Source organism: Homo sapiens, chromosome 12, assembly GCF_000001405.40.
Source record: "Homo sapiens chromosome 12, GRCh38.p14 Primary Assembly".
NCBI lineage: Eukaryota > Metazoa > Chordata > Mammalia > Primates > Hominidae > Homo > Homo sapiens.
The window spans coordinates 117,546,604-117,572,862 of record NC_000012.12 but is presented as its reverse complement, the minus strand read 5'-3'; the positions used below and the strand labels follow the sequence as shown (position 1 = coordinate 117,572,862).

The window sequence follows — 26,259 nt, the reverse complement described above, 5'->3', positions numbered from 1 at the left end:
TTTCTGCAGAGCTAAGATCTGGTTCCTTGGAAACCTCTCTACCCCTATCTGCATTTCTTGCAGGAAAATGCACAACGTGATTTGGGTGACACCTGCTCTAGAAAATGAGAGTTTAAACAGAGGTGCTTTTTCCTTTTTCTTTTCTCTTTTTTTTTTTTTTTTTAATGGGCTGGAGTGTGGAAGAGAGGGGAACATCTTCCAAAACCACCAGTGGATAAGTAGCATTTCAACTGTCTCCTATGCTTGTTTTAGCTACCCATTTTCTCTTCTCAGATTATGTTTTGGTTCTGGTTAGTTCAGCCATCTCTGAGCATGTGGGGATTCTTTGCTGCCACTCGGGGTATGAGGGTGAAAAAGAAAAACTTGTCCTCGAGATGCTCACAGTCACTGTCAGTTCTCAAGGTGTGCCCTGGCCCCACCTATCTCGGGATCAAGGTGCAAGCTTAACATTGCCACTTCCTGAGCCCGTCTGCAGATTTCCTGGACCAGGCTCTGAGCATAAGGCCTAGAAACGTGCATTTTACTAAGCATCCCAGATACTTCGTATTTGTACTTAAGTGTGGAAGTGCTGTGGTGCTACATCAAGGTCGGGTGGATGCAGTAATGCACATCAGGGTACTCTGCTGGAGGACCTTGAAGCTAAGTCTTGAAGGAAGAGGAGTTAGCCAGGCGAAGCAGCGTCAGGGTGCTCTGGGCCGAGGAAACAGCCTGAGCAAAAGCTTGGACTGGGACGTTAAAGGCCTTGAGCATATTTTGCAATTGTTTGCACCAGGCAGGGACTGGGGGAGAGCGGAGATGGGTTCTGCTTTGCAGCTTCAGGGTGGGCCAGTTATTGCCATGATTCAGGCTGCTGCTACCTGAGGCTCCAGGCAGGGATAGGATGGGGGTGGGAGGCGTTGCTCAGTGCCCAGCCAGACCCACTCCTAGAAAAGCGATCTTGGACTCAGGCTCTCATCATCCCAAGAGTGAGTTGTTTGCCAAGGACAGGACCATGGGGAGGAGCATGCTGGTGTCAAGATCACCCTTCCTGTGGGTGGCAGAGTGAGGAACACACACTAGGAATTGTGATATTCTCCGAGTCACCTGCTCTCAGGGCCTTAGATTCGAAGGGTCTGATCAACTAAGGGATTTCAGAGTACTTCATAGATGCTTGAGCCTTATTCTTCCCTAGGACCAAGGAGCGCTCACTCCTCTGCTTTGAAGACAGGATGTTATTATAAACTCAGTGGCCAGCGGTCACAGTCTTACATCACCCACTTCCATCTTGTGTTCTGATCAGATTTCCAGTGATCTCTTTGACCAGCCACTGCTACAGAGGCTGCAGCAAATGGCTCGTACCTTGCAGCTGCCTCACCCAGGTACCTGAGACTAAGCCCCTCCCCCTTCCCCAGGTGGTTCAGAGCCAGTGACTACCTTTTTCAGGGGTGCAAAATCCCAGCCTCCTTACCTTGAGACAAATAGATTTTATGGTACAGTTTTTCCTGCAGAAATCCCCATGGGATGAGGCTGAGACTGGATTCACCTGAAACCACATCCATGCCTGGCTTCTCCCTACTCCCAACCTTGCTTCCTCCACAATGGAATAGGTTTCTTTTTTTCTTTTTTGAGACAGAGTCTCACTCTGTTGCCCAGGATGGAGTACAGAGGCATGATCTCGGCCCACTGCAGCCTCGACCACCCGGATTCAAGCAATTCTCCCGCCTCCGCCTCCTGAGTAGCTGGGATTACAAGTGCCCACCACCATGTCCGGCTAATTTTTGTATTTTTAGTAGAGACAGGGTTTCACTATGTTGGCCAGGCTGGTCTCAAACTCCTGGCCTCAAGTGATCTGCCTGCTTCGGCTCCCCAAAGTGCTGGGATTACAGGCATGAGCCACCGTGCCTGGCTGGAATAGGTTTCTTCTGAGCATACTCCCTCAATAAATCATTTGCAAGAATATTCATTTCAGGATCTGCTTCTACAAAACTCAACTTATGACAGTGAAACAACAGCAAGGATACAGACTGCAGAGAGAGAGCTGAGTTCAGGTCCTGGCCCTGCCACTCCCTCGCTGTGTGACTCTAGGAAGGTTTCTAAACCTCTCTGATACACAGTGAGGCTAACACATTCATTCCATGTGATGAGATATGTTCATGCCCCGATAATAATGACTTGAGAATTCTTTCAAATTAGAATCTTTAAATACGTTGTTCAGCATTTATTTCGTTGCAAAACCCGACTTTATATGAATGCAAAGTATAAAAAGAAACAGACCCACTAAATCGCTTCCATGGGTTGAAGCAACATCGAAGTTCTGGAAAATTTTAGCCCATTTTCGCCTTTTCTGTAGTTCTTGTTCTCTGCTTTTCCTTCAGAATTTTCTGAATCAGCCAACTTCTTGGAAGACATGTTATAGGGTTTATTTCAGTTTTTCTCAACCTTGGCACTATTGGCATTTGGGGCCAGATAATTCTTTGTTGTGGGGGCTGTCCTGTCGTTGGAGGATGTTTAACACCATCTACAGTTTCTACCCACTAGATGCCAGTAGCACCCCCTCCTCACTCCCAGTTGTGACCATCAAAAACGTCTGCAGATGGCTCAAGCCTGTAATCCCAGCACTTTGGGAGGCCGAGGCGGGCGGATCACAAGGTCAGGAGATTGAGACCATCCTGGCTAACACAGTGAAACCCCGTCTCTACTGAAAATACAAAAAATTAGCCGGGCGCGGTGGCAGGCGCCTGTAGTCCCAGCTACTGGGGAGGCTGAGGCAGGAGAATGGCGTGAACCTGGGAGGCGGAGCTTGCAGTGAGCCGGGATCACGCCACTGCACTCCAGCCTGGGCAACAGAGCGAGACCCTGTCTCAAAAAAAAAAAAAAAAGTCTGCAGACATTGCCAAATGTTCCCTGGGGGTCCAAACTGCCCCCAGGAGAGAGCTACTCATTCCTACGCCATGGGGCTATGGTGTGCATTATTCAGTTTTAGAATGTGAACTTGCAGTTGCTTGACCTGTGCTTGGACTCATTACTCAAACAGTCAACTTATAGGGTGAATCCTTATATATATTTCAGGTTATAGGGTGAACTACAGGGTGATCCACTCTATAGTTATAGGGTGATATAGGCATTATAATCCCTATTATACAAGGGGGTGATCAACCATCCCAGTTTGCCTGGGACTTTCTGAGGTTTAGCACTGAGATTCCCAAGTGCCTAGAAACCCTTCGGTCAGGCCTAGGTTAGCCACCTTACAATAGACGTAGGTCTTTACTAACTAAAGACATTTTATATGTTCCTATGTTCCAGTTGAGGTTACTGCCCACTTCTGTAGGAGTGAGACCCATGTTCGTTCCCCTAGTAAGGTAAGACATGGTGTTTGGAAGCCTGAGTTAACCAGCACAAGATTTCCAGTGTATTTCAGTGGTGTTTTCATGGCCTTTATACGAGTCCTCTTTCCTCCTGCCTGCAGTGGCTGGCCAGACATGCTTGTACCTACTTCTTTTTATGTAAACAGTCACTTTAATAATTTTTACTTAAATAAGCCATGCACTTCTCAATTGACTTTTGCCGTGTTAGTGGATCTTTTCACTTGGGTTTGTACACATCAAAATCCAAGTGAAAATGTCAAATAACACAGCAAAACCAAGCACATCTTGATTTTCTCTCTTGCCCTGTGCATTCTGCTCTCCTATGTTCTTGCAACAAAATATATTTTACCTAAAAATGTCCAATTTTTTTGCAAAATCGCTGCAGCCACAGGTGATGAGGAGATAAAAGTGTGAAGTAAGCCATGGCTGGTTTGAGCCACCATTGCACTAATTTACCCAGACCTTAAAAAGTGGGGAAATGATGAGTGCTGATGTCGCAGCTGCTGCGAAGTTCCTGGAAGCTTTGGGAGTTTGTACAACAGGCAGGATATTGGCAGGATATAATTATGAGCAAGTATTTCAGAGATCACCAGCTTGAATCTTGAACTTACTTTTCTATTAATAGAAACACTTCAGTTTTTGCAATAATTATAATGGGAGTTAATCATCCTATATATGCGTTTTTACCTATGATAAGCAAAAATTTAGGTCTAATTATAGTTGTATCTGAGGGATGCTTATAATTCTACTGGGGGCTGAGGTGGGATTAGATGTGATAATGATGATGATAATTATGATGATGCTATCATGTATTGGGGGCTCACCCAGGTGCCAGACATTTTGCTAAACACTTTACATGCATGATCTCATTTAATCCTTGCCACAACTATGGAAAGTAGGGTCTATTATTACCCCCATTTTACAGACGAGGAAACAGAGGCCTTCAGAAGTAAACAGCCGGCTCGAAGTGTCACGGTGTGTGGATCTGTTACTCAAACCCACTGATCGCTCAGATTCACGATCCCAGACTTTTAACCGCTTTACACGGGCAAAGGGCTGGCTACACAGCAGGCCGGCAATAAATGCTACATGTCACTCTGCTTGCCCTTTAACTAAACAAGCAGAACAGAGTATAAGAATTTGGTCTCAATTCCAACCTGGACCAAAGCTTTTCCTCATCCCTCCCCCAGCCTGCCACATGCTCCCATCATCCTTTCTTGAATTGAAAGATGACAAATGGATCTTTGTGTTCTGATGAACACCTCTGGGTTCAGAGAGCCAAGAAGACTCTACAGTCGCTTTCTTCTTTTTCAGGGAAGGCGAGGGAGAGGAGAGGAGGGAGGGTACAGCAAGTAATACATTTACAGCTTCCCTTACAGTGTCCTTTTATGGAGAGAAAAGTGCTGGGGGTTCCTGGTGATTTTTCATGATGTCCTTGGAACCCGAGGTCTGATTTATATGTCAATACTTCCTACCGCCCTTTGCTCATTTGTATTGTGGTTAGCTATAGGCTAAAGAGCTAGACCCCACTGAGTTGTTAGCAGTGAGGGAAAGGGTGTTTTGATATCCTGTACTTGGAGCATACGGAGGCATTTCTAGAAGCACTGGCTCAAACAAGAGACCACAGGGGAACTCACATGAGACCAGAATGCTCAGTTGGTATGCAGTGAACCTGCACTTTTGGTTTTGATATCCTGCACTTGGAGCGTACGGAGTCATTTCTAGAAGCATTGGCTCAAACAAGAGACCACAGGGGAACTCACATGAGACCAGAATGCTCAGTTGGGGTATGCAGTGAACCAAGCCCTGCTGCAAAGGGGGCAAGGATTCGGTTTCGTGATTTTTTTTTTTTTTTTTGCGAGAAGCCTTCAGGAACACTTAATGCAGTGACCTGGAAAAGGAAAGCAGGTACAGAGAGTAGGGAAGATAATGAGAGGGGAACTTTGCTGCCCTTTAATTGCAAGTTTCTGCTGCCAGAGGGTGTCTTTTCAAAATGCTTAGCCAGCATTCCCCTCCCTGTTTAAAATCCTTCATTAGCTCCCCCTTGCTCTCGGCGAAATCCAACTTCATGACGAGACCGCGCGCCATGTTTGCTTACTCCTCTGTCCCCTCGCATCTCTCCCCTCTTCATGCCCAGAGCTGCAGCTTCTCCGAGCCATCAATCCCCGTGGCAGGTCATGTGCCCACTCATTGACATGTCTTTGCACCCCATTGCTACTGCCTGGATCTTTCTTGCACACCTCTGCTGGCTCTCATTTATCTTTCAAGCTCAGCTCAGCCACCACTTCCCTCCGGGAAGCCTTCCCTGACTCCCCTCAAATCTGAAGTGCCACCTTCTGCCCTTTTCTGTCACACCATATTACATACTACTATGTTTTATTTGTCTATTTACCTGCCTGTCTTCCTGACCAGACTTTAAACTCTTTGAAGGCAGGGCCATCTCATTTCTGGACGGTTCACTGTTTAAACCTCTAGCGCCAGCACAGTGCTTGGCACACATGGTAAATGCTCAGTAAATACTTGTTGCTTGAGTAGATCTCAGTAGGGACCTCTGCAGAGAGAGCGGTTCTTGACAATATAAGCTCCCCAAATCTGGTTCAAATCCAGCTGGGCTCATTTATAAGAGGCAATTTGGGCGCAGTAGGATGAGTAGAGAGATGTTCATGCTTGAAGCCACAAGAGATGGGTTTACATTCTTGGACAGTAAATTTCTTGCTAGACTGCAAGATCTTTAAAGAAAGAATTCTTGTCTTATTTAATTATTATACCTCCAGTGCCTAGCATAGCCCTTGGCACAGAGGAGGAACACAGTGTCTTCTTGTGGGCATGCAGGGATGAATTGTCCCAATTCTGCCCATCACTATCTGAATGACTGAGCTTGTTACTGGACCCCAGTCTTCTTGACTTAAAAATGGGTATACATGGAATACTATGCAGCCATACAAAAGAACGAGATCATGTCCTTTGCACGAACATGGATGGAGCTGGAGGCCATCATCCTTAGCAAACTAATGCGGGAACAGAAAACCAAATACCACATGTTCTCACTTATAAGTGGGAGCTAAATGATGAGAACACATAGACAGAAAGAGGGGGGCAGGCCAGGCGCAGTGGCTCACGCCTGTAATCCCAGCACTTTGGGAGGCCAAGGTAGGCAGATCACGTGAGGTCAGGAGTTTGAGACCATCCTGGCCAACATGGTGAAACCCTGTCTCTACAAAAAATACCAAAATTAGCCAGGCGTGGTGGCGCACTCCTGTAATCCCAGCTACTCAGGAGGCTGAGGCAGGAGAGTCACTCGAACTGGGGGCGGAAGTTGCAGTGAGCTGAGATTGCACCACTGCGCTTCAGCCTGGGGACAATAGACATGGCGGCCTACTTGAGCAAGGAGGGTGGGAGGAGGGAGAGGTTGCAAAAAAAAAAAATAACTACTGGGTACTAGGCTTAGTACCTGGGTGATGAAATAATCTGTACAACAAATCCCCGTGGCACGACATGAGTTTACCTATGTAACAAACCTGTACGTGTCCCCCTGAACCTAAAATAAAAGTGAAAAAGCAAAAGAAAATACTGGGGGGAAAAGTAACAGTTAAAAAGAGTCTTAAACTTCAAGTCTTAAACTTGATTGCAGTCTGAAACTTGAATTGAGGTTTTAAAGCCATGCACATAGAAGACTTAGAATTATATATCACATGATTACACATGACTACACAATGGGGCCACATCAATGAGGATTTATCACTTCTGTTTTCTGAAGAATGAATGAGCAAAATGAATGTATTAGATCTGCAGTGAGAGTAAACAAACAGATAAGTTATCTCCAACAGAATCTAATAAGGGTTAAAATATATGTAAAACATTTCACACAGTTTATCTCACATGGTAAAGGGAAATAATTATTATTCCTATTCTCATTGTCAATATTGTGATTCCATAGCCATATATAAACTGATATCCACTATTTTATTAACAAAAGTAAGCCAACAAAAGCTAGATGTTCAGTACTTTTCACATATTACATGGGTGTAACAATATACACCTCTTAAGAGATTGCTGTTCAGGGGAAATGGGTTGTGTAATTTAGCACCTGGCTCAAAGTTTGTGCTTGTTTAATGTTTCCTCAATTGGATATTAGGAGCCAGGTTTTTAAAATGTTCCATGTGCACTCTGGAAGGAAAGACTGGGCCCTAGTCAGACAGATTATTGTAAAGTTAGCTGGCATGGAACAAGAAAAAATAGGAGAAATGAGAGATCGAAGCTGATCGGAGCAAATTTTCATCCGTTGGTTAGAATCGCCCAATGAACAGTGAGAAATTGACGTGACAGTCTTCCCTAGGAGGGGTCTTGCCTGTCCCTCCTGTGAACGCCAGCATTTGGATTCCAGCTCTGTGCCAGGCTCTAGGCTTATGACTGCTTCACAGGGGGCCATGACACATCTTTCAAGAAAACAGCAGAGCTGCTTGTGAAAGAGACCATTTGTCCCCCGCAGTTCCCATGGAGATCCAGTTTGCTTCTGGTCAAATCCTGCCCTCCAGCCCCGCACTGGGAAGAAGGGAGGGAAGAAAGAAGGAAATGCAGAGGGGGCATCATTGCATTTCACAAACAAAGAGGGATACGATTTATAAGAAATAGAAATAGCCTTTCAAAAACGTTTTGATAGGGATTAGAATGTTTCTAAATCTGCAGTGTTTGACAGATTTCCCCTTCTGCCTGTTCTTCTTTTTCTTTCCTCCTCTTTCCCTCCATCTCTCTGATACTTACCCACCAGATAATACACACCAGGCACCTTTCAATGAAGGAGGAAAGGAAAGGGAGGTAGCACATGAGGGAGACCTAGATTCTGCCCTCAAGATAAATTCACATATTTAATATTCAGACAGAGATGATGTCTCATTTAGCCAGCAACTCCCTTGGGGGAATGAGATGTTCCTCGTAAGCAACTTTTCCTGATAACTGAAGCTTATCCTATTAAACCTTAGAAGTTAAAAGAAAAAAGAAGTTAACTATTTGCCATGAAAGTTTTAAATAAATCCTTTCCAAGTTTGCAGGCTTTTTCTGTGTGTGCTCAGAGTGGGTCATATCCCTGCCTGCTAAAGCGTTGACCTATTTGGTGCCTATGTGGTACTACTTAGACATTCTCTCATTAGATGCTGTCTTGCCCTGCCAGGAAGGGCAGACCTGTGATTCAGGCTCAGGTCGGCTTGATTGCAAAGTGCAAACTTTTGACCATTTCTGGAACCATATAGGACCTTCCCTGGTGCCTGGGAATCCTTCAGACCCACCATCTTGAAACATGGGGCTCCTCCTGGCCCATATCTGGTGTGGAGGTTTGCCTTCTTTCACGTTACTGGGGGCAGTCTGTTGTGTCCACCTCACCTCTTCCCTTCCTCCTTCGGGAATGGAGCACCTGGAGAACCAAATTCATTAGGGACTGACAGCATGAGGAGCCAAGGGTTTTGGTGTGAGAGCCATGGGGAAGGCCACGTTCATGCTCTGAATTTCTGTTAATAATCCTGGTGTTTTAATTGGGCTCCCTGTTTCCACAGACCCAGAGACAAGGATGTGAGGGCAAGTGGTTTATTTGAGAGGTGATCCCAGGCCACACCAATAGAGGAATGGGGAAGTGAGACAGAGAGTTAAGGCAGCTGGTAATGGGTGCATCAAAGAGCAGGTGCTTGGGGGGATTGGGGTGCAGTCCTAAAATGAGCATGCCTCTGGGTCATGCCACCCATGAGAGAGGGGGCTGGAATATCCATCAACCAACGCCCACCTATAGTTGGTTGAGGTCTCCAAGTGTTCTAGCCAGCCCATGTTTCCAGCCAGAGAAAGTCCTCCAGCAGAGGATCTTAGGGGCTTGCTGTAGAAAGCTGCTGCACAAACTAGCAATAATTATGGTAACTACCATAATAAAGATAGCACCTGCCGCTGCTTGAGATTCTACTGTGTGCCAAATATTTGTTCTGGGCACCTTACTTGCATTATATCATTAGTCCTCACTGCAACCCAGAGAGGCAAGAGGCTACAATTGTCCCCACCTTACAGATGGGGAAACTGAGGCTCTGAGTGGATCGGCAGCTTGCCCAAGTTATCACAGCCAGGGAGTGGTGGTATCAGGATTTGAACCTAGGTTTGTTCTATATACTTTCCCCATTTTCCTTTCGGAGGAGAACATTGTATTCCGAAAGATTCAGGCTCCCATTCATCTCTCATCTGGGAAGTAGAATGTATTCCTCTGATATGGTAGTTCTCGAGTTTCACGTGTGCTTGCTTAAAATTTGCATTCCCAAAAGACACTTACCCAATCAGGACCTTGGAGAGTGAGGCCTGGGAATCTAATTTTGAAGCAGGTGGTCTCCTGGTAAATTACACGCTAGTAGCTCTTTCTTCCATGGGTAGGGAAAAGGAAAAGCCACATTTTGGGAAAATGATGCACATTTCCAGCTGGAAGAACAGTTTCCATTAAGAGGGACATAGTGTGCTTTGCAAAACCTTGCTGTGGTCCCTCTTCCCTCTGTCTCCAGAGTCTGTGTAATTTCAGGGTTTGTCTAATCCTGCCGACTCTATTAGCAGATCCGGGATGTGCAGGCTCTCGTTCTTGACATCTGAACCTAAGTGCAAGGTTTAAGTGCCTGGGCATTGGAGATATTTCCCTTGGGGTTTTCTGCATGAGCAAGGCTGTGTTTCCACTGCTAATGCTGCCCACCGAAGCCCCTGGCTGGAAGGAAGAGTGTTCGGTCTCCCACTCCTGGGACAGAGGTCAAGGAGGGCTTTTCCATTACTGCAAGAGAGAAGCAATAAGGGACTCTGGAGAGGAAAAATTGCCAAGGAGGAGAGCAGGAAACAGGCCAAGGTCATGAGCAGCCTTACCTGTTCTGTCTTGGGTTAGCAGTGGTCTACAGGTTAAACTAAATTGCATGCTCCTGATTCAAAGTGCTGCCCACGAGATACCAACAGGGCTTCTTTGCATCTGCAAGGCACTTTTCCAGCTGGGTTTATTAGAGATGACTTTTAGGTGGGGGTGTTAGAAAGGAAAAATATTCTTTCTTGAAGTTTCTGGGGTGGAGTCCAGCTATTCCAAGTGCAGAAACTTCTTGGACTGACTCCCCTTTGACATCAGATTCCCCACAGCTCAGGGCTTCCCAAACATCAGTCTGGCCATGTCATGGTCCTCAGAAAACTTCAGTGGCTTCACAGCACCTGCAGATTCAAATGCAGACCCTTTGCCTTAGCTTTTGGGGTCCCCACCCCCTCCCCTTCCTCATGTCCCCACCATTCGTGTTGTTCTCTTCACTTTAAAAGTTCTCATCACTTTAAAAGCCTCATTGACCTTTAACTTTTGACCCTTGAACTCACCACACTTGTTCTGCCCTCCAAACCTTTGTGCTGGAACTCGGCTTCCCCTACCCTTGACACCTACCCAAGGACCTCCCTCATACCCCATCATTCCCCCCAACCCATTTTCCTGTAATATTTTTTCATGATCTTATGACATCTGCAATTATTTGATTTATCTGCTTATACATTTATCATCCCTCCCCATAAACAGAGAGGCTGCATTAGCCTTGTTCATTGTGAATCTCCAGTATCTGGGGCACTCCAGGCCAAACTCAGTGTTGAATGAATGAAAGGCCCGTTTCACATTTAGCAGAGCTCTGCATCAGGGCTTTGAAGCATCATGAGCTTTCCCATGGGGGCTGGGACCTTTCCCATAAGTCTGAGAGTCTGAGGGTCTTAGAAAAGGAATAGACAAAGAAAGCCAGGTCACAGTAACTTGGGATTTTGATTATCCTTGTGAAGTCAAGCATCCGTATTGGGAAGAGTTAGGTGTTATCTTAGGCTTGTCTCAAAGAAGGGCATTTTGACTCAGGTAGTTATAGCTCCCAGGAACCTTCTACTTTACCCACACCTACCCCCAAGATGTTAAAGCAAAAAGAGTGCAAGTTAGGAAGGCATTTAGCATTGTGGTTAAAAGTTGGGCTTGGGAACTCTGTCTCTTATAGGCCATTTGACATTAGGTAAGTTATCCAAATTTGATAAGCCTGAGTTTCTCACTCTGTAAAATGGGACTAACAATAATTGCTACTTCTTAGGGCTGTTATGAGGATTAAATGAATGATGTAAAGCACTCAGGATATTACCTAACACATCAAACATGTTAGTTCTTGTTATTTTCAGTGTCCTACAGTCTTTATGACATTCATGACCAACAGCACTTCCAAATGTTTTTCAACCATCTTAGACTTTCTGGTGCCAAGAGCTATGTCCTCTTTTTGTAGATTCCAAAATGTCTAAGTCAACTTTTCCCAGTCTAACTCAGACATTTGTCTAACACTCTGTCATGATTTTATCATAATTACATATCCACTCTACTATTTTTACTTATTTTCTATTTATGGCCTTTTTAAACTTAAATTTATTGAAAGATGAAAATGTATCTCATTATCATAAATGAAAAATCAACATAATTTGCCATTAATATAAGGTGTGTTAGTCTGTTATGCATTGCTATAAAGGAATACCTGAGGCTGGGTAATTTATAAAGAAAATAAGTTTATTTGGCTCACGGTTCTGCAGGCTGTACAAGTATGGCACCAGCCTCTTGTTGGCTTCTGGTAAGGTCTTATAGCAGAAGGAGAAGGGGGAGCAGGGGTGTCACATGGTGAGAGAGGGAGCAAGAGAGATAGAAGGAGATGCCAGGCTCCTTTAAACTATCAGATCTCAGGGTCTCTAATAGAGTGAGAACTTACTGATTACCGTAAGGAAGGCACCAAGCCATTTGTGAAGGATCCACCCTCATGACCCAAACACTTTCCACTAGGTCCACTTCCAACTTGGAGGTCACATTTCAACATGAGATTTGGAAGGGACAAGTATTCAAACCATCTCATAAGGCAACCTGGAAAAAATAAATTTTCAAATGGAAAAATCATTGATAAAATTCCCTGTGGATACTGCTACCTGTCGAAAACTGGGACTGGAGATAGCACGTGTTGGAGAGACCTCTCTGGTGCCATCAGATTGAAAGAGAATTGGAGAGGGGCTTACGTCTCACCCTGTGATTCAGCATTGTCTCATATTTCCTATGTCCCTCCTTGCTCCCCTTCTGCACTCTCGGTGGTCCCAGGTCTAACTTTTTCAGAGAGGAATTCAGAGCCCCATCAGAGCCATGAAAGACCAAACAAGAGAAAAACTGGGGAAATGTGCACAAATATTCCAAAACAATCAGCTAGGCTGGTGGTTCTCACACCTGAGCATGCATCCAATTCACCTAGAGGGCTTTTTCAGACCCAGAGTGCTGCCTGCTGCAGCCTAGCCTCCAAGTACTGATTCAGCAGATCTGCCAGGGGGCCCCAGAAAAGTTCCCAGGTGGTGCTTATGCTGCTGGTCTGAGAACACTACTTTCAGAACCACTGAACTAGACTAATTGGAGGAATCAATGTTGAGTCTGTGCCTGCATATTCAAACCATTATTTTAAAGAGAACTATCAAATCAGGAAGAGAGTAGGGGGCAACTGTAAAGTTCCTACTTCTGAGTTTAATGTATACGTCTATTTTAATACTAAATCTCCAAGCAGCCTGAGGGCCACCCTCTGGCAAAGATGTTGGCTGCTGGAAGTTAGACTGGTATGTGCAAAATGGTAAGAGAATCCAAGGGGATACGAATGGGGCACTTACGGCATCTTCCACAGCGTGTATCTATCCTATTGACATAAAACTCTACAAGAAAAGGACAAAGCCAGGCTGCAGTAATTTGTGAATTTTATTATCTTTGTGAAGTCAGGCAACTCCAGGGGAAAGAGCAAGGTGTCCTCTTTGGCTCCTCTCAAAGGAAGACATTATCATTCTAAACTCTTCAACTGTATGCCTCTAAAACTTAATACCTGGCACCGATTTCATTATAATTGGAAGCCCTGGTTGAATGTGTCCTACAGCGTGAGGCTTTAAGAAAAATGAGCGGCCACCTTTGGGACCCCTGACCCTGGTTTTCTGTCAGGGCAAGTCAGTTAATCCAAGTTTTTCCATCTGTGAAATGGGAATGATAATAATGCCCATTTCGTGAAGTTGTTACGAAGATTAAATGACATAGTATAAAATGAATCTTCAAGTAAATGGAAGATGATGAGAAGAATTGTGATGATGATCATAAATACAGGCTGATGGGAAAAGCATGATATTTGATATTTTTTAAAACGTGAAGTCCGTGTGGGCAGTGCTAATAAAACAGCTGCCATCCATTCTTGGACCACCCAAGACTTACCTGAGAGAGTGGGATACTAGAAGCCTCTCTGCGGAGATAATTTCCTGGTTTGCTGAGGATATGCCTTTGCAGTAGCTGCCCCATCTCATCTCACATCTTGGTATCCACAGCACCCAGAGCTTTCCAGACCACTGGGGGCATCCCATCTATCCACCTATCCATCTACCTACCCATCCACCATCCATCCATCCATCCATCCATCCATCCATCCATCCATCCTTCCATCCATCCATCTATCCATTTATTTATCTATTCACTTCCTCATCTATCCACACATCAACCATCAATCTGTCTGTTCATTCATCTCCCATCCATTCATCTAGTCATCTGTCTATCCATCCACCCACTCATCCACCCACCCGTCCATCCACCTACCCATTTATCCATCTATTCATCCACCCATCCATCCATCTGTCCAGCCACCTATCAATCTATCCACCCAGCCATCCACCCACCCACCCACCCATGCATCAATCCATCTACCAATTTATGCATCCACCTACCCATCCATCCGTGAATCCATTCACCCATTCATCTACTCACCCATCTATCCCCCATCCATCTACCCATCCATTCACCCATCCATTCATCCACCCATCCACCCATCCATCCATTCATCCACCCACCCACCTACCCGCTCACTCAGCCATTCACCTATCCATCTTTCTCTCTCTTTATCTTTCTCAGGTTAAAGTGCCACAACAAATGCACCAAAGAAGCCCCACCCTGTCATCTTCTGATCATCCACCGAGGAGGTAACTATTTAACACTTACTGCCCTAGGGGCAGGGGTGAGGTGGGGCTCCTGCAGGTCCCCCACATAGCTGTCCCATCAGGTTGGTTCTGAATACCTCTTGATCCCCACATACTTCCAGCATTGTTTCTTTCTCTCTGACGCCCTGTTTCCTGACATCTGTCTCCTTTATCCTCCCCTATGCCTGTTCTCCCTGTTTCTTGCCCCTCTACTGGTCCCTCTGACACTTTAGCTCCCTTTGTCTCCCCACTTAACCCCTGCTCTCTCATCCTGTCTCCTCTCCTAATTTCTAGCCTCTTCTGTTTACCAATCCCATTGCTTTTCTTCCCACCAAAAAAAGAGCACTGGCTGGGTGTTTTTCCATTGTGTGTTCTCTAGATTTAATCAATTGGCCTTGCAAAAGTAGGCATGAGGAGGGGTATGTCTTGGGTCTGCTGGATTGGGCCATTTGTGTCCCATCTCCTGGGGCCCTAGGAGTGTCTGGGTCAACCTGTCCACATAGGGAAGTAGCAGCCCTGGGAGAGCCGCTACCAGGATTCCACTGCAAAAGCAAGACGAATCTGGCTGGAAGGAAAGACAGAAGGAAAGGCTTTTTCCTGGCTGCCAAGGACTTACTTATAAGGGACACTGCCTTGGGAACTTTTGTAGTGCAGCTTTCAAAATAGTTCCCCTGATCTTTGCCCTATGGGGTGATCACCCCCAAACTCCATTATCCATATTGAAATTTATCTCCGAGGGACTTTCTGGACATGTGCTCCCCAATACAGTAGCTACTAGCTACATTTGACTATTTAAATTTAGATTAATTAAAATCAAATAAAAACACAAATTTAATTACTCAGTCCCACCAGCCACATTTCAAGGGCTTATACTGGTACAGATATAGAACATTTTTTTGACTGCAGAAAGTTCTACTGCACATCGTAGGCCAGATCCTTGCTATTCAAAGCACTGTCCGTGGACCAGCAGCATCAGGATCACCTGGGAGCTTGTTAGAAATGCACGATTTATGGCTCCACCTCAGACCTACTGAATGAGAATCTGCTTTTTAAACAGGATCTGCAGGGAATTCCTATGCACCTTAAAGTTGAGAAGCACTGCTCTAGAGCAGGAGTCAGACATAAACTAAGATGCCTATGAGGGCCAAGTAGATGTCCTAAATGAGAGAAGTTGGCCAGAGCGGGCTGTGGGACACTGGAAAACCGAAGTGCCATCTAGAGAGGGTAGCCAGCCACTCCAGCTATGTGGACCTACATTGCCAGCATTTCTGACATTTCCAACAAAAGCCCAAATAGAGAATTTTATGTGCCATATGCTTATTTTTTATTTATTCAATGTTTTTTGAGATGGAGTCTCTCTCTGTCGCCCAGGCTGGAGTGCAGTGGTGCGATCTCAGCTCACTGCAACCTCTGCCTCCCGGGTTCAAGCGATTCTCCTGCCTCAGCCTCCTGAGTAGCTGAAATTATGGGCACCCACCACCATACCCAGCTGCTTTTTGGATTTTTAATAGAGACAGGGTTTCACCATGTGGGTCAGGCTGGTCTTGAACTCCTGACCTGGTGATCCACCCACCTCTGCCTCCCAAAGTGCTGGGATTACAGGTGTGAGCCACCGCGCCTGGCCCATATGCTTATTTTTAAATGTAAGCAGTTTATTAAAATCTTTTAAAGTCATGCTGGCTGCCTCCCTGCAAGCCCCTCATCTATAGGGTGGACAGAGCCTTCAAATCACCAGGGAGCAACTTTAGGGTACAGCAACTTGCTCATCTGACACTGAGTCCTCCTTCCCTGTCCTCTCACTTGCCCACCCCCGTCTCCCCTGGCCTTGATCGGTGGATATTCCTGGGAATCTGCCCTAATTTAGAATGAACCCAAGGGAAACTTAAAGAAGGAGGCAGACTGCTGCTGAAAGCACTGTGATGTGTCCCAAAGCCAACGGGCAGTTGGTTTTCGATGATCGTTGCACTGTTTATCTCCAAAAACAGAGAAAATTGCAAGTGAAGACAAAGTCTTCAGCTCCCTTCTCTTGCCCTTCCCACCCCACATCCTTAATTGAGAACCATCTGTTCCTTGAATAACTGTATACACTCAATGAGGCTATCTTAAAACCTGAATTCTCACCTCCCTTGAGACCCTGCCTTGGGTCAGCCTCATTGGAAAAATTGCCTCCCACCAAATTCTCCTCCGTAGAGGGTTTTGCTAGAGGCTGATTCCCATATGGACAGAAGCAGCCTGCTGGAAGGTGATGGCTTTCAGAGGCTGACATTTGAAGAAGGGCTCCCTCCCACCCACCCTCAAGGCCATGCCGCCTTTTGTTCAAAGGTGGCAGGTGTCTGTACATACAGAGCGAACTGAACTTTGCAGAAATCCACCAGCTTCTTGCTTTTTCTCTCCGTTGGTTGGAAGTTGAAAATATAGTCAGTTTCCATGGTGATGGCAGCTCAGGCTAAGCAGAGAAATGAAATCCCTGGGTCAATCCGGAGCTTAAACTTCTCAACCAACACCCTCCCCTCACCGCTGCAATAAAACAACAACAACAACAACAACAACAACAGCTAACAAGTAACAATACCAGGCATCAAATTTGATTTTGAGCTTCTCATTTTTGCCCCTTGCTGTGTTCCCTGTGAGTAATAGAAGTAACAGAAGGGAGAGGGGCTTGGGCGATATGATTTGGATCAGGAAGCATTTATTTAGCATCTACTATGTGCCTAGCTTCCTAGAACAGCTGTCTTTCTTTCAGGGATCCAAAGTTGTTTAGGACAAAGTGTTTCAATGTGCGGCAGGCTGCTTAGGCCTGAGAAATCCCAAAAGGAATGAAAGATGATCCTAACACAGAGGTTAGAAAGTTAGGGACAGGGCACCATGATGAGCTTGTCCGCTCATCACAGGCCCTGAGAAATCAGGAACCTCGTGTATTTAAAATGAGTTTTGAGTCTGCCAATAAGAAACAATTGTGGTACTTTTAAAAAAACCTGATAGCTTTAGTTTTATTATTATCATCTTAATTGTCAAAAGTCATATATGGACAATAGAAATATGTTGCAAACCACAGAGTATACCCTGATCCCACCACAGAATCATTATCACTTTTAGTGAATTGTCCTCCAGTCTGGAGGGTGGGTCTAAGAGGTGGGATCTGAGCTATGCCGTCCTGGCATAACCAAAGACAAAGTGATACTTAAACTCCCAAATCAATGTTTTTACCCCTACGGATCCAGCAAGGTTAGTCCGGACAGAGTCCGTTCCGTGTGACATCAACAACCCTCTACGGAAGCCACCTCGCTATTCAGACCTGCACATCAGTCAGACGCTCCCCAAAACCAACAAAATCAACAAGGTAAGGCTGGGCTTCCCCTGGGTCTCGGCATGTGGGGCTGGCACTGCTGGGTGAGGGGTAGGAGGGAGGAAGGGTTGATCTGGGAGTATGGCGCTCCCTCCTAGCCCGTCTCGGCTCCCCTAATTCTGTGATGTTTGTGTTGAGTAAAGCTTGAGGGACGTCCAGAGATCAGTGGAGAGATTTGTGTGCCAGAAATCTTATTTAGAAAGAGGGCATGTCGGAATGAGAATGGATGAGGGTGTCCAGGAAGGCACAACGGATGGGAGGAGAGACTTAAAAGGAGTTTCCTTAGTGGTCCAGACCTCACTTGCTTTGCTCTTTGAGAGGTTTTGCCATCTGTATTAGTCTGTTTCATGCTGCTGATAAAGACATACCTGAGATTGGGTAATTCATAAAGAAAAAGAGGTTTCATGGACTCACAGTTCTATGTGACTAGGGAGGCCTCACAATCATGGCAGAAGGCGAAAGGCACATCTTATATGGTGGCAGACAAGAGAGAGCTTATGCAGGGAAACTCCCCTTTATAAAACCATCATATCTTGTGAGGCTTATTCCCCATCACGAGAATGGCACAGGAAAGACCAGCCCCCATGATTCAATTACCTCCCACTGGGCCCCTCCCATGACATGTGGGAATTGTGGGAGCTACAATTCAAGATGAGATTTGGGTGGAGACCCAGCCAAACCATAACACCATCTTCCAGGACCAACTTTGCAGATGGTTCTGGGCTTTCTGACACATCTGTCAGATCAGACCTCCAAGGAATAGGGGTCTATTTCTGAGCTTCTGGTAGGGGCTGGATGGGTGGGTTTTCTTTGGGGGCCCTGAGCTCTGAGCAACAGGCAATTTGGTTGGCTTCTACCCTCAGACAGGTGGTCAGCAGTGGGCCCCTCTGTGCATCTTTCTTTCAATTGTGGCCTAGAAATTTCTGGCCTGATTTCCATATCCTTTATTTGGTCTGCTGATGGGGCTGTACCAAATCTATCCCGGGGGTATGCCCAGCCTCACAGTAGGAGGCAAAGGTTGCACACACCAGCAGGTGATTTTCCAAGCATCTCAAAGCTTGCATGCATTATGTCGAAGGTAGATGTCTAAGTCCATTTGCATTGCTATGAAGGAATATCTGAGGCTGGATAATTTATAAAGAAAAATGTTTATTTGGCTCTCAGTTCTGCAGGCCGTACAAGAAGCCTGACACCAGCATCTGCTTCTGGGGAGGCCACAGGCTGCTTCCACTCATGTTGGAAAGTGAAGGGAAGCACGCATCACACGGTGAAAGGAAGGAAGGAAACGTGCATGAGAGAGGGAGAGAGAGAGAGAGGAGAGGGGAGGGAAGGGGAGAGGAGGGGAAGGAAGAGAGGTGCCAGGCTCTTTTAAACAACCAGCTCTAGCAGGAATTAATAGAGGGATAACTCACTCATTACCGCAAAAAAAGGGATCAAACTCTTCTTGAGGGATCCACCCCTGTGACCCAAGTACCTCCCACTAGGCCCCACCTCCAACACTGGGTTCAAATTTCAACATGAGATTTGGAGGAGACAAATATCCAAACGATATCAGTGGAAAAAGCACATCAGCCCAAGGATCGGGAGGGCACTGACCTGTGTTCAGGTCCTAGAGGAACATCATGATAGCTGAGTCACTATTCAATGGCAACACACAGAGAGAGGATTGCCCCCTTCCCAACCCATTTCCCACACAGCAGCCAGAGTGATACTTAATGAATGTAATTTGAATTATGTCATGCCCTGCTTAAAAACCGTCCAATAGCTTTCGACTGCATCTAGAAAACAAATCAGACTCTGCTGCAGCCTGAAAGCCCATGCAAAATTTGGTCCCTCCTCTATCTCTGACCTCTCCTTCCATGTCTTCCCACAAAGCTTGTGTGTCCCTTTGCTCTTAAGCTATCTCACCCGCCATTTTTATCTCGAAGCCATTTACCATCTGGCTCCTTGTGGCATAATTTCAGCAGCTGAGTGAAGTTGGCTTCTGGAATCAGGCAAACCTGGCAGCCAGCCAGGGCTTCCTTTGCTTATTAGCTGTGAGACTGAGCAAGTAACTTAATCTCTCTGAGCCTCAGTTTTCCCGTAGGTAAAATGGGGCTGTTCCAGTTATCTACTGCAGCACAACAAACCACCCAAACTTAGTGGCGTACGACAATCATCCTTTTATTATACTCACAGAATCTGTAGGTCAGGAATTAGGACAGAGAGCAGAGGGAATGGTTTGTCTCTGCTCCATAATGGGAATCAACTGGGAAGACTCACACAGATAACGGCTGGAGTCATCTAAAACAGGGATTGACAAACTATGGCCCACAGGCCAAATCCAGCCCACAACCTACTTTTGTAAATAAAATTTTATTGGAACACAGCCATACCCATATTTCTGTGGCTGCTTTTGTGCTATGATGTCAGAGTTGAGTAGTCATGACAGAGACTGCATGGCCTGCAAAGCCTAAAATATTTACTGTCAGATTCTTTACAGAAAAGGTTTTCTGACCCCTGATTTAGAGGCTCTTTCACTCCATGTCTGGTGCCTGGGCTGGGTTGAGTCAAAGCCTGGGTTCAGCAGAGATGTCAACTAGAGCACCTGTATATGGACTTGCTGTAATGCTTGGGTGTCCTCACAATATGGCTGCCTCAGGGTAGTCAGGCTTCTTACATGGTAGCTCATGGCTCAAAGAGCAACTGAATTAGCAAACAGGTGGAACTTTGACAGTGTCACTTCTGCTGCACTTTACTGATGGAAGCAGTCACAAGCCTGCTCAGATTCAACGGGAAGAAACACGGACCTCAACTCTTAGTGGGAAGCGTCCACGGATTTGTAGTCATGTTTTAAAGAGCCCGTGGCAGGCAATAAGAACACTAACCTCAGACAGTTGTTATGAGGATGGAATTCAATAATCAACATTTAAATGCACTCAGTGTACTTCCTGGCCCATAGTTAATATCCAGGAGATTCTAGCTATTATTATCAGCTTAAATTTGGGGGCCTTTGATCAAAACATCAGGCCACGTCCACTTTTCCTTTGTTATTGGCAAAAGATATAGGTCTCTAGGAGAGGGGATCCCCACTGCTGGGAGGGCTGAGCAAATTCAAATGGCGAGGCTTCTGGGAAGTATAATAATTGTGCATCCCTTAGAACCCATTCTTTCCTTTGTGACATTTTGAGGGACGAGGAGCTCAGAACCACCTTGAGACCTTTCTCTCTGGCTTTACAGGCACAGTGAGCCTCTTGGTGTCAGATGAGACTGAAACATAGGTCAGATAGATCAGTGACTGTGACATTGTTCTGCTTGTCTGCCAGCAGGAGAATTTGATAAGGGAAATAAATTAACCTCTATTAAGAAAGCAGCTTTGACATGAAGGTGGACAAGATCTATCATAGGGCTGCGTTATTTTTTCCCCTCTTTCCCTTCTCGCTGGCTTCACACAGATTCTTCTTGTCAGGCAATGATGTGGTTAGTGCAATACATTTCTGAGCCAATTTGGTCTGAAGATTTTTTTTTTCACTGCTCTTTGTCTTGTCTCCTGTCTAGTTCAGTCAATCCAGGTTCACAAAGGCCCTGCTTTTTCACCCAGCACAGTGGTTAGAGTGTAGATTTTGGAAACAGGAAGTCTGAGCTTGCAACTCAGCTCTTTAACTTGCTGTACGACTGTGGGCCAGTTATCTCAAGATCTGTCTGCCTTAGTTTTCCTTTATGTAAAATAGACATAATAGGAGGTATCATTGGGGTTGCAGACAGGATTAGATGTATGATATGTATAAAGGATTTTAGTCAAATTCTGAATACTCAGGGCATGGAAGTAGCTTGATGATGAAGAAGACAGAGAAAGAGGAGAAGGAAGAGGCAGGAGGAATAGGAAGAAGGAAGGAGGAGGAAAGGAAGGAGGAAGAGGAAGAGAAGGAGAAAGAAGGAGGAAGAAGAGGAAGACAGAGTGGGGTGGATGAGGAGAATGGAGGAGGGGGAAGGAGGAGAAGCAGCAACAGTAGCATCTGCCAATTCCTTATGGGACCAAGCTACAACCCTTGTACTTCCACATCAAGCCATCAAAAATACCATCTGCAGTAGTGGCAGAGGCTGAATCTCTGCCTGCTGTATTCAAGCTGTTTGAAGTGGCTGCATGCTGGTTTGCTTTTGTTGGTTGGTTGCAAGGTACAGAGACCCGCCTAGGCTGGCTCCGCAAAATGAGTTGTCTTTTGTAAAGGATGGACATGGGGGCAATTCAGAGAAAGGGAAATCATCATTTAGGCGCTGGGCCTCATGAAACTAGACGTGGAGGATGGTCTTTAGCTCAGTCCAGCTCCTTGGACCCAAAGCAGCCCATAGGCCATTGTTCTGGTCTTCCATCATGACCCTGACTTAGCTACTCTTTATGGGTCTGCTCTGATGTGTTGTTACTGTTGGCTGGTTTCCTCATCTTCTACTTTTGTCTTTCTTTCCTCTGTCATTGCTTCTGCCTCCATATAGTTCCTACTCCTTATGACCTTTGGCTTCTTTGTTTTCTGGCCTGTTGTGGCTCCCCTGTTCTCTTTGAACCTCATCTTATCTCAGCCTTTGCTCCTAATGCTCTCTGCTCTTCTTCCTAATGGCCTATCTCATCATTCCATCCCATATTATAGGTCACTGGTCAGCTGCCATTATGCTCTGGCCTATGATCCTGTGTTGGGAGTGGGCTATGGAGGTCATAAGACAAGTGTGTCTGTTTAGGACAGTCCATTGAACAAAGGCTGTTGGGTTGGAGGGTGAGGACAGTTTCCTTAGAAAGTGTCCATGGGAGAGCAATGACCATCACCGCCATGTCCAAATCAGTGCTCAGCTGGCTGAAGTGGAAACCTGGGTGATGAACGTGCTTCTATTTGAGTTTCAGAGTCAGATGTGAATTTCTTATTACTTGGCACAACCTCGTGCTTCTGCTTCTGAGCCATGACTTGGGACCTGTGCCACTAATGCTCTGTGTGACTCCAGGAGGCCATTCCTCTCACCTTACAGTCTCAGCATCCCCTCCTACAGAATGAAGTAGTTGGACTGGATGGTCTCTGATGGATGTTTCCAGCTCTTATCTATGTTCAGAAAGAGGAATTATGCCATTAGCCTTTCCCTGCATGAACTGGTAGAGTTTAATAAGTTTCCTTCTGATGGAACACAACCACCAGCTGCTGGTCCCGTTCAGACACAGATGTGGGTTTAACCTGCAGAAGAGATTTTCCCTCCTGTTGTAACAATTCTGCCAGGATAAGTGAGTACCATACGTATTAATGAGTCTGTCCTCAAAGAGGTAGAGATAAGTCCTTCCACCATAAAGACAATTTTCTCTCCTTCTCTCCCTCTTTCCCTCTATCCTTTCTTCCTTTCAATTGCTTAGTTCATTCATTCATTCATATAACATTGATTAGTTACCTCCTATGTTTTTGTTTCTGTGCTTAGTTTTGCAGATTCCAAGATGAGTAAGTAACAGTCTAGTGGGAGGAAATAGATCTTCCTCCTCTATTCCTCTCTCCTGTTCTTCCATACAACCCTTCCTCTTTCCATTTCTTCCTTTCTTTTTTCTTTCATCCAGCACACATTTACTGAGGGGCCACCATGTGACTGTGTGACTGGCTCATTGCTAGGTGCTGATGCATATAACATACTCCCTGTCTCAGGGAGTGCCTAGTCTAGAGGATGAGACAGATAAGCTGACAAATGTCCATGTAGAAGCACAAGCCTATATGGTTTTTTTTTTAAAGTTAGACGATGACCATCTTTTTGCAGAGCATCTATGGAAACTTCTTGAAATTTTCCAGCAAGTTCAAAGAGCAAGGCTTGGGAGGGTGGATAGATGCCTGACTTTCTTTTCCTCGTGTAATATAATTGGCCTCCAGCTTTCTTGAAAAACCTCACCTGCCCCCTGGGCCAAGTGGGAGCTTCTTTCTATATCATAGTCATAAATGATAAATCTTCACTCCACACGTCACTGACATATTATTCCTTACACTAATATGTCCATTGTTATGGAAATGCAATTACCATTAGATAAATTAAGATAGAGTGCGAAGGCTTCCTGATGCCTTTCTACTAATGTTGGATCAGAGTTACCTTCAAGGTGGTCTTGCGTGGCAGGTGGTTAGAATGAACTACAGCATAACCTTGCCTAAAATAGTAAGACTATGTCCAAGTGGACAGATGTTCCCTGCCTTCTACTGGGGCTCACATTTATTTCTTCCACACAGGGTCTGAGATCAAATTGGGGAGATCTGTTATTCCAGGGAAAATTCTATAGCTTGGGAATGTTAATTGTCCATGGGGCCAGTATCCATTTGTTTGTCTACACAATCATAGTTGAGTTTCCCTTTCTCAGAGACTCTCTGGAGAGGGTCTAGTTTCTCCCTCCAGAGATAAACACCTAACTTGCAGGTTTGCTGCCAAGATTAAATGAACTAACAATATTAGTTACTCTGCTTCCAGGAAGATGGAGTAATTGTACTTTTCCATATTCCTCCCACTAAGTTCAGTTGACCCTTGAAAAATGTGGGGGTGAGAAATGCCAACCCCACCCCCACAGTTGAAAATCCACATATAACTGTTGATGCCCCCAAAACTTAACTACTAATAGCCCACTGTTGATCAGAAGCCTTACCAATAACACAGAGTTTATTAACATGTATTTTGTATGTTCTATGTCTTATATGCCATATTCTTACAATAAAGTAAGCTAAAGAAAAGAAAATGTTATTAAGAAAATTATAAGGAAGAAAATATATATTTACTATTCATTATGTGGACACAAATCATCATAAAGGTCTTCATCCTTGTCGTTTTCATGTTGAGTAGGCTGAGGAAAAGGAGGAAGAGGAGGGGTTGGTCTTACTGCCTCAGAAGTGGCAGAGGTGGAAGAAAATTCACATATAAGTGGACCATTGCAATGCAAACCTGTGTTATTCAAGGGTCAACTGTACAGCTAAAAACAATGGACATTGTATATAAAATAAACATAAGACCACTCTGAAAGAGGGCAAGAAGGAGGCAGACCAGCTAGGGACCCAAGCAATGACACAGTGGTGAGTTCCCTAAGACTTTTTTTTTTTTAAGATGGAGTCTCACTGTCACCCAGGCTGGAATGCAGTGGCGCAATCTCAGCTTACTGCAACCTCTGCTTCCCGGGTTCAAGCGATTCTCCTGCCTCAGTCTCCCAGATAGCTGGGACTACAGGCACCCACCACCACGCCTGGCTAATTTTCAGAATATTTTTAGTAGAGATGGGGTTTCACTAGTTGGCCAGGCTGGTCTTGAACTCCTGACCTTGTGATCCACCTGCCACGGCCTCCCAAAGTGCTGGGATTACAGGCATGAGCCACTGCACCTGGCCGCCTGAGACTTCTTTTAGCTTCATGTATCCCAGACTTAGAACTGAAGAAGCTGGCAACCTGGATGTGTCAATGAGTAAAAACAAAATAAGCCCCAACAAAAGCCTGCCCCATCTAGTCAAAGGCCCAGGAAAGGGACAGCTTAGCAAGAAAACTTTTACCCAATAACCGTCCTACCCCAGCCAAACACCACAGAAAAATCTGTTGCCCTACCTACCCATAACAGCAAAGATCAAGTAGGGAGTCTAGACTCCCATCCTTGTCAAGCTGAACCCTGGCATCCCAATCCTCCTGCCAGGCTGGTGTTAGAGAAGGCTGAGTAGGGACTGTCATCCCTGCTGGTGGGAAGGAACACCCCCCTCACCCAGCAATAATGCAGCACTCCCTCCCACACCTGCTGAGGTAGGATTCAAGGAGACCTAGTGGAGAGTCAGAGCTTTTACACCACCATCATTAACAAGTCTGCTCCCTGCTTTTTGGCATTCTTACCCCTCCCAGCAAGAGTGGTATCAGCAAAGGTCTATGGGGGAGCTGGATTTCAACCTCTGCCCAGCAATAATGAGGAACTCCTTCCCTCTTCAGGGACTAACAGAAGCTGAATGGAGAACTTAAATTTCTACCCATCCCTGGCAATAGCAAGGCAGTACCTCCCCTTTCTCTGCTAGAGCAATGTCAGAAATCCAGCAAAAACAAGAGGTTTAAATAACATCCAAAGTCTCACAACATAATACTCACATGTTCAGGCTTCAGTTGAAAATTACTTGTCATAGCAAGAAGCAGAAAGATCTCAAGCTGAATAGAAAAAGAAAGACAATCAATAGAAGCCATTGCTGAGATGACTGGGATTTTAGAATTATCTGATGACACTTTTAAAGCATTCATTATAAAAATACTTCAATAAGCAATTATGAACGTTCTTGAGACTAATGAAAACATAAGAAGTCCCTGAAAAGAAACAGAAAGTGTCAGCAAAGAATTGGAAGATAAAAAGAAGAAGCATTTAGAAAATTTAGAACATACAATTAGAAAATACAATAACCAGATAAAAAATTCAGTGGATGGACTCAATAACAAGTTGGATGGGGCAGAGGAAAGAATTTGTGAACTTGAAGATAGAATGATAGAAATTACACAGTCTGGATAACAGAGAGAAAATGGCCTGAGCAGAGTATCAAGGACCCTTGGGGATTATAATAAAAAATCTAACATTGGT

The 26,259-nt window shown here is 45.2% G+C and overlaps 1 protein-coding gene across 8 annotated transcripts in view; it reads left to right on the top strand.

Annotated features, from left to right (window-relative positions):
- The window catches only part of KSR2 (kinase suppressor of ras 2), a 515,979-nt gene that overhangs the window by 396,128 nt on the left and 93,592 nt on the right, over positions 1–26,259 (top strand). For 6 of the 8 annotated variants that reach the window (NM_173598.6, XM_011538225.4, XM_017019208.3 and 3 more), the window contains exons 8-9: positions 14,290–14,357; positions 17,570–17,694. In NM_173598.6, coding sequence (NP_775869.4) covers positions 14,290–14,357; positions 17,570–17,694 — 193 coding nt within the window. Of the gene's footprint in view, positions 1–3,282; positions 3,339–14,289; positions 14,358–17,569; positions 17,695–26,259 lie in introns of all 8 variants that reach the window. The other 2 variants (XM_017019210.3, XM_011538224.4) reach the window with 2 other exon arrangements.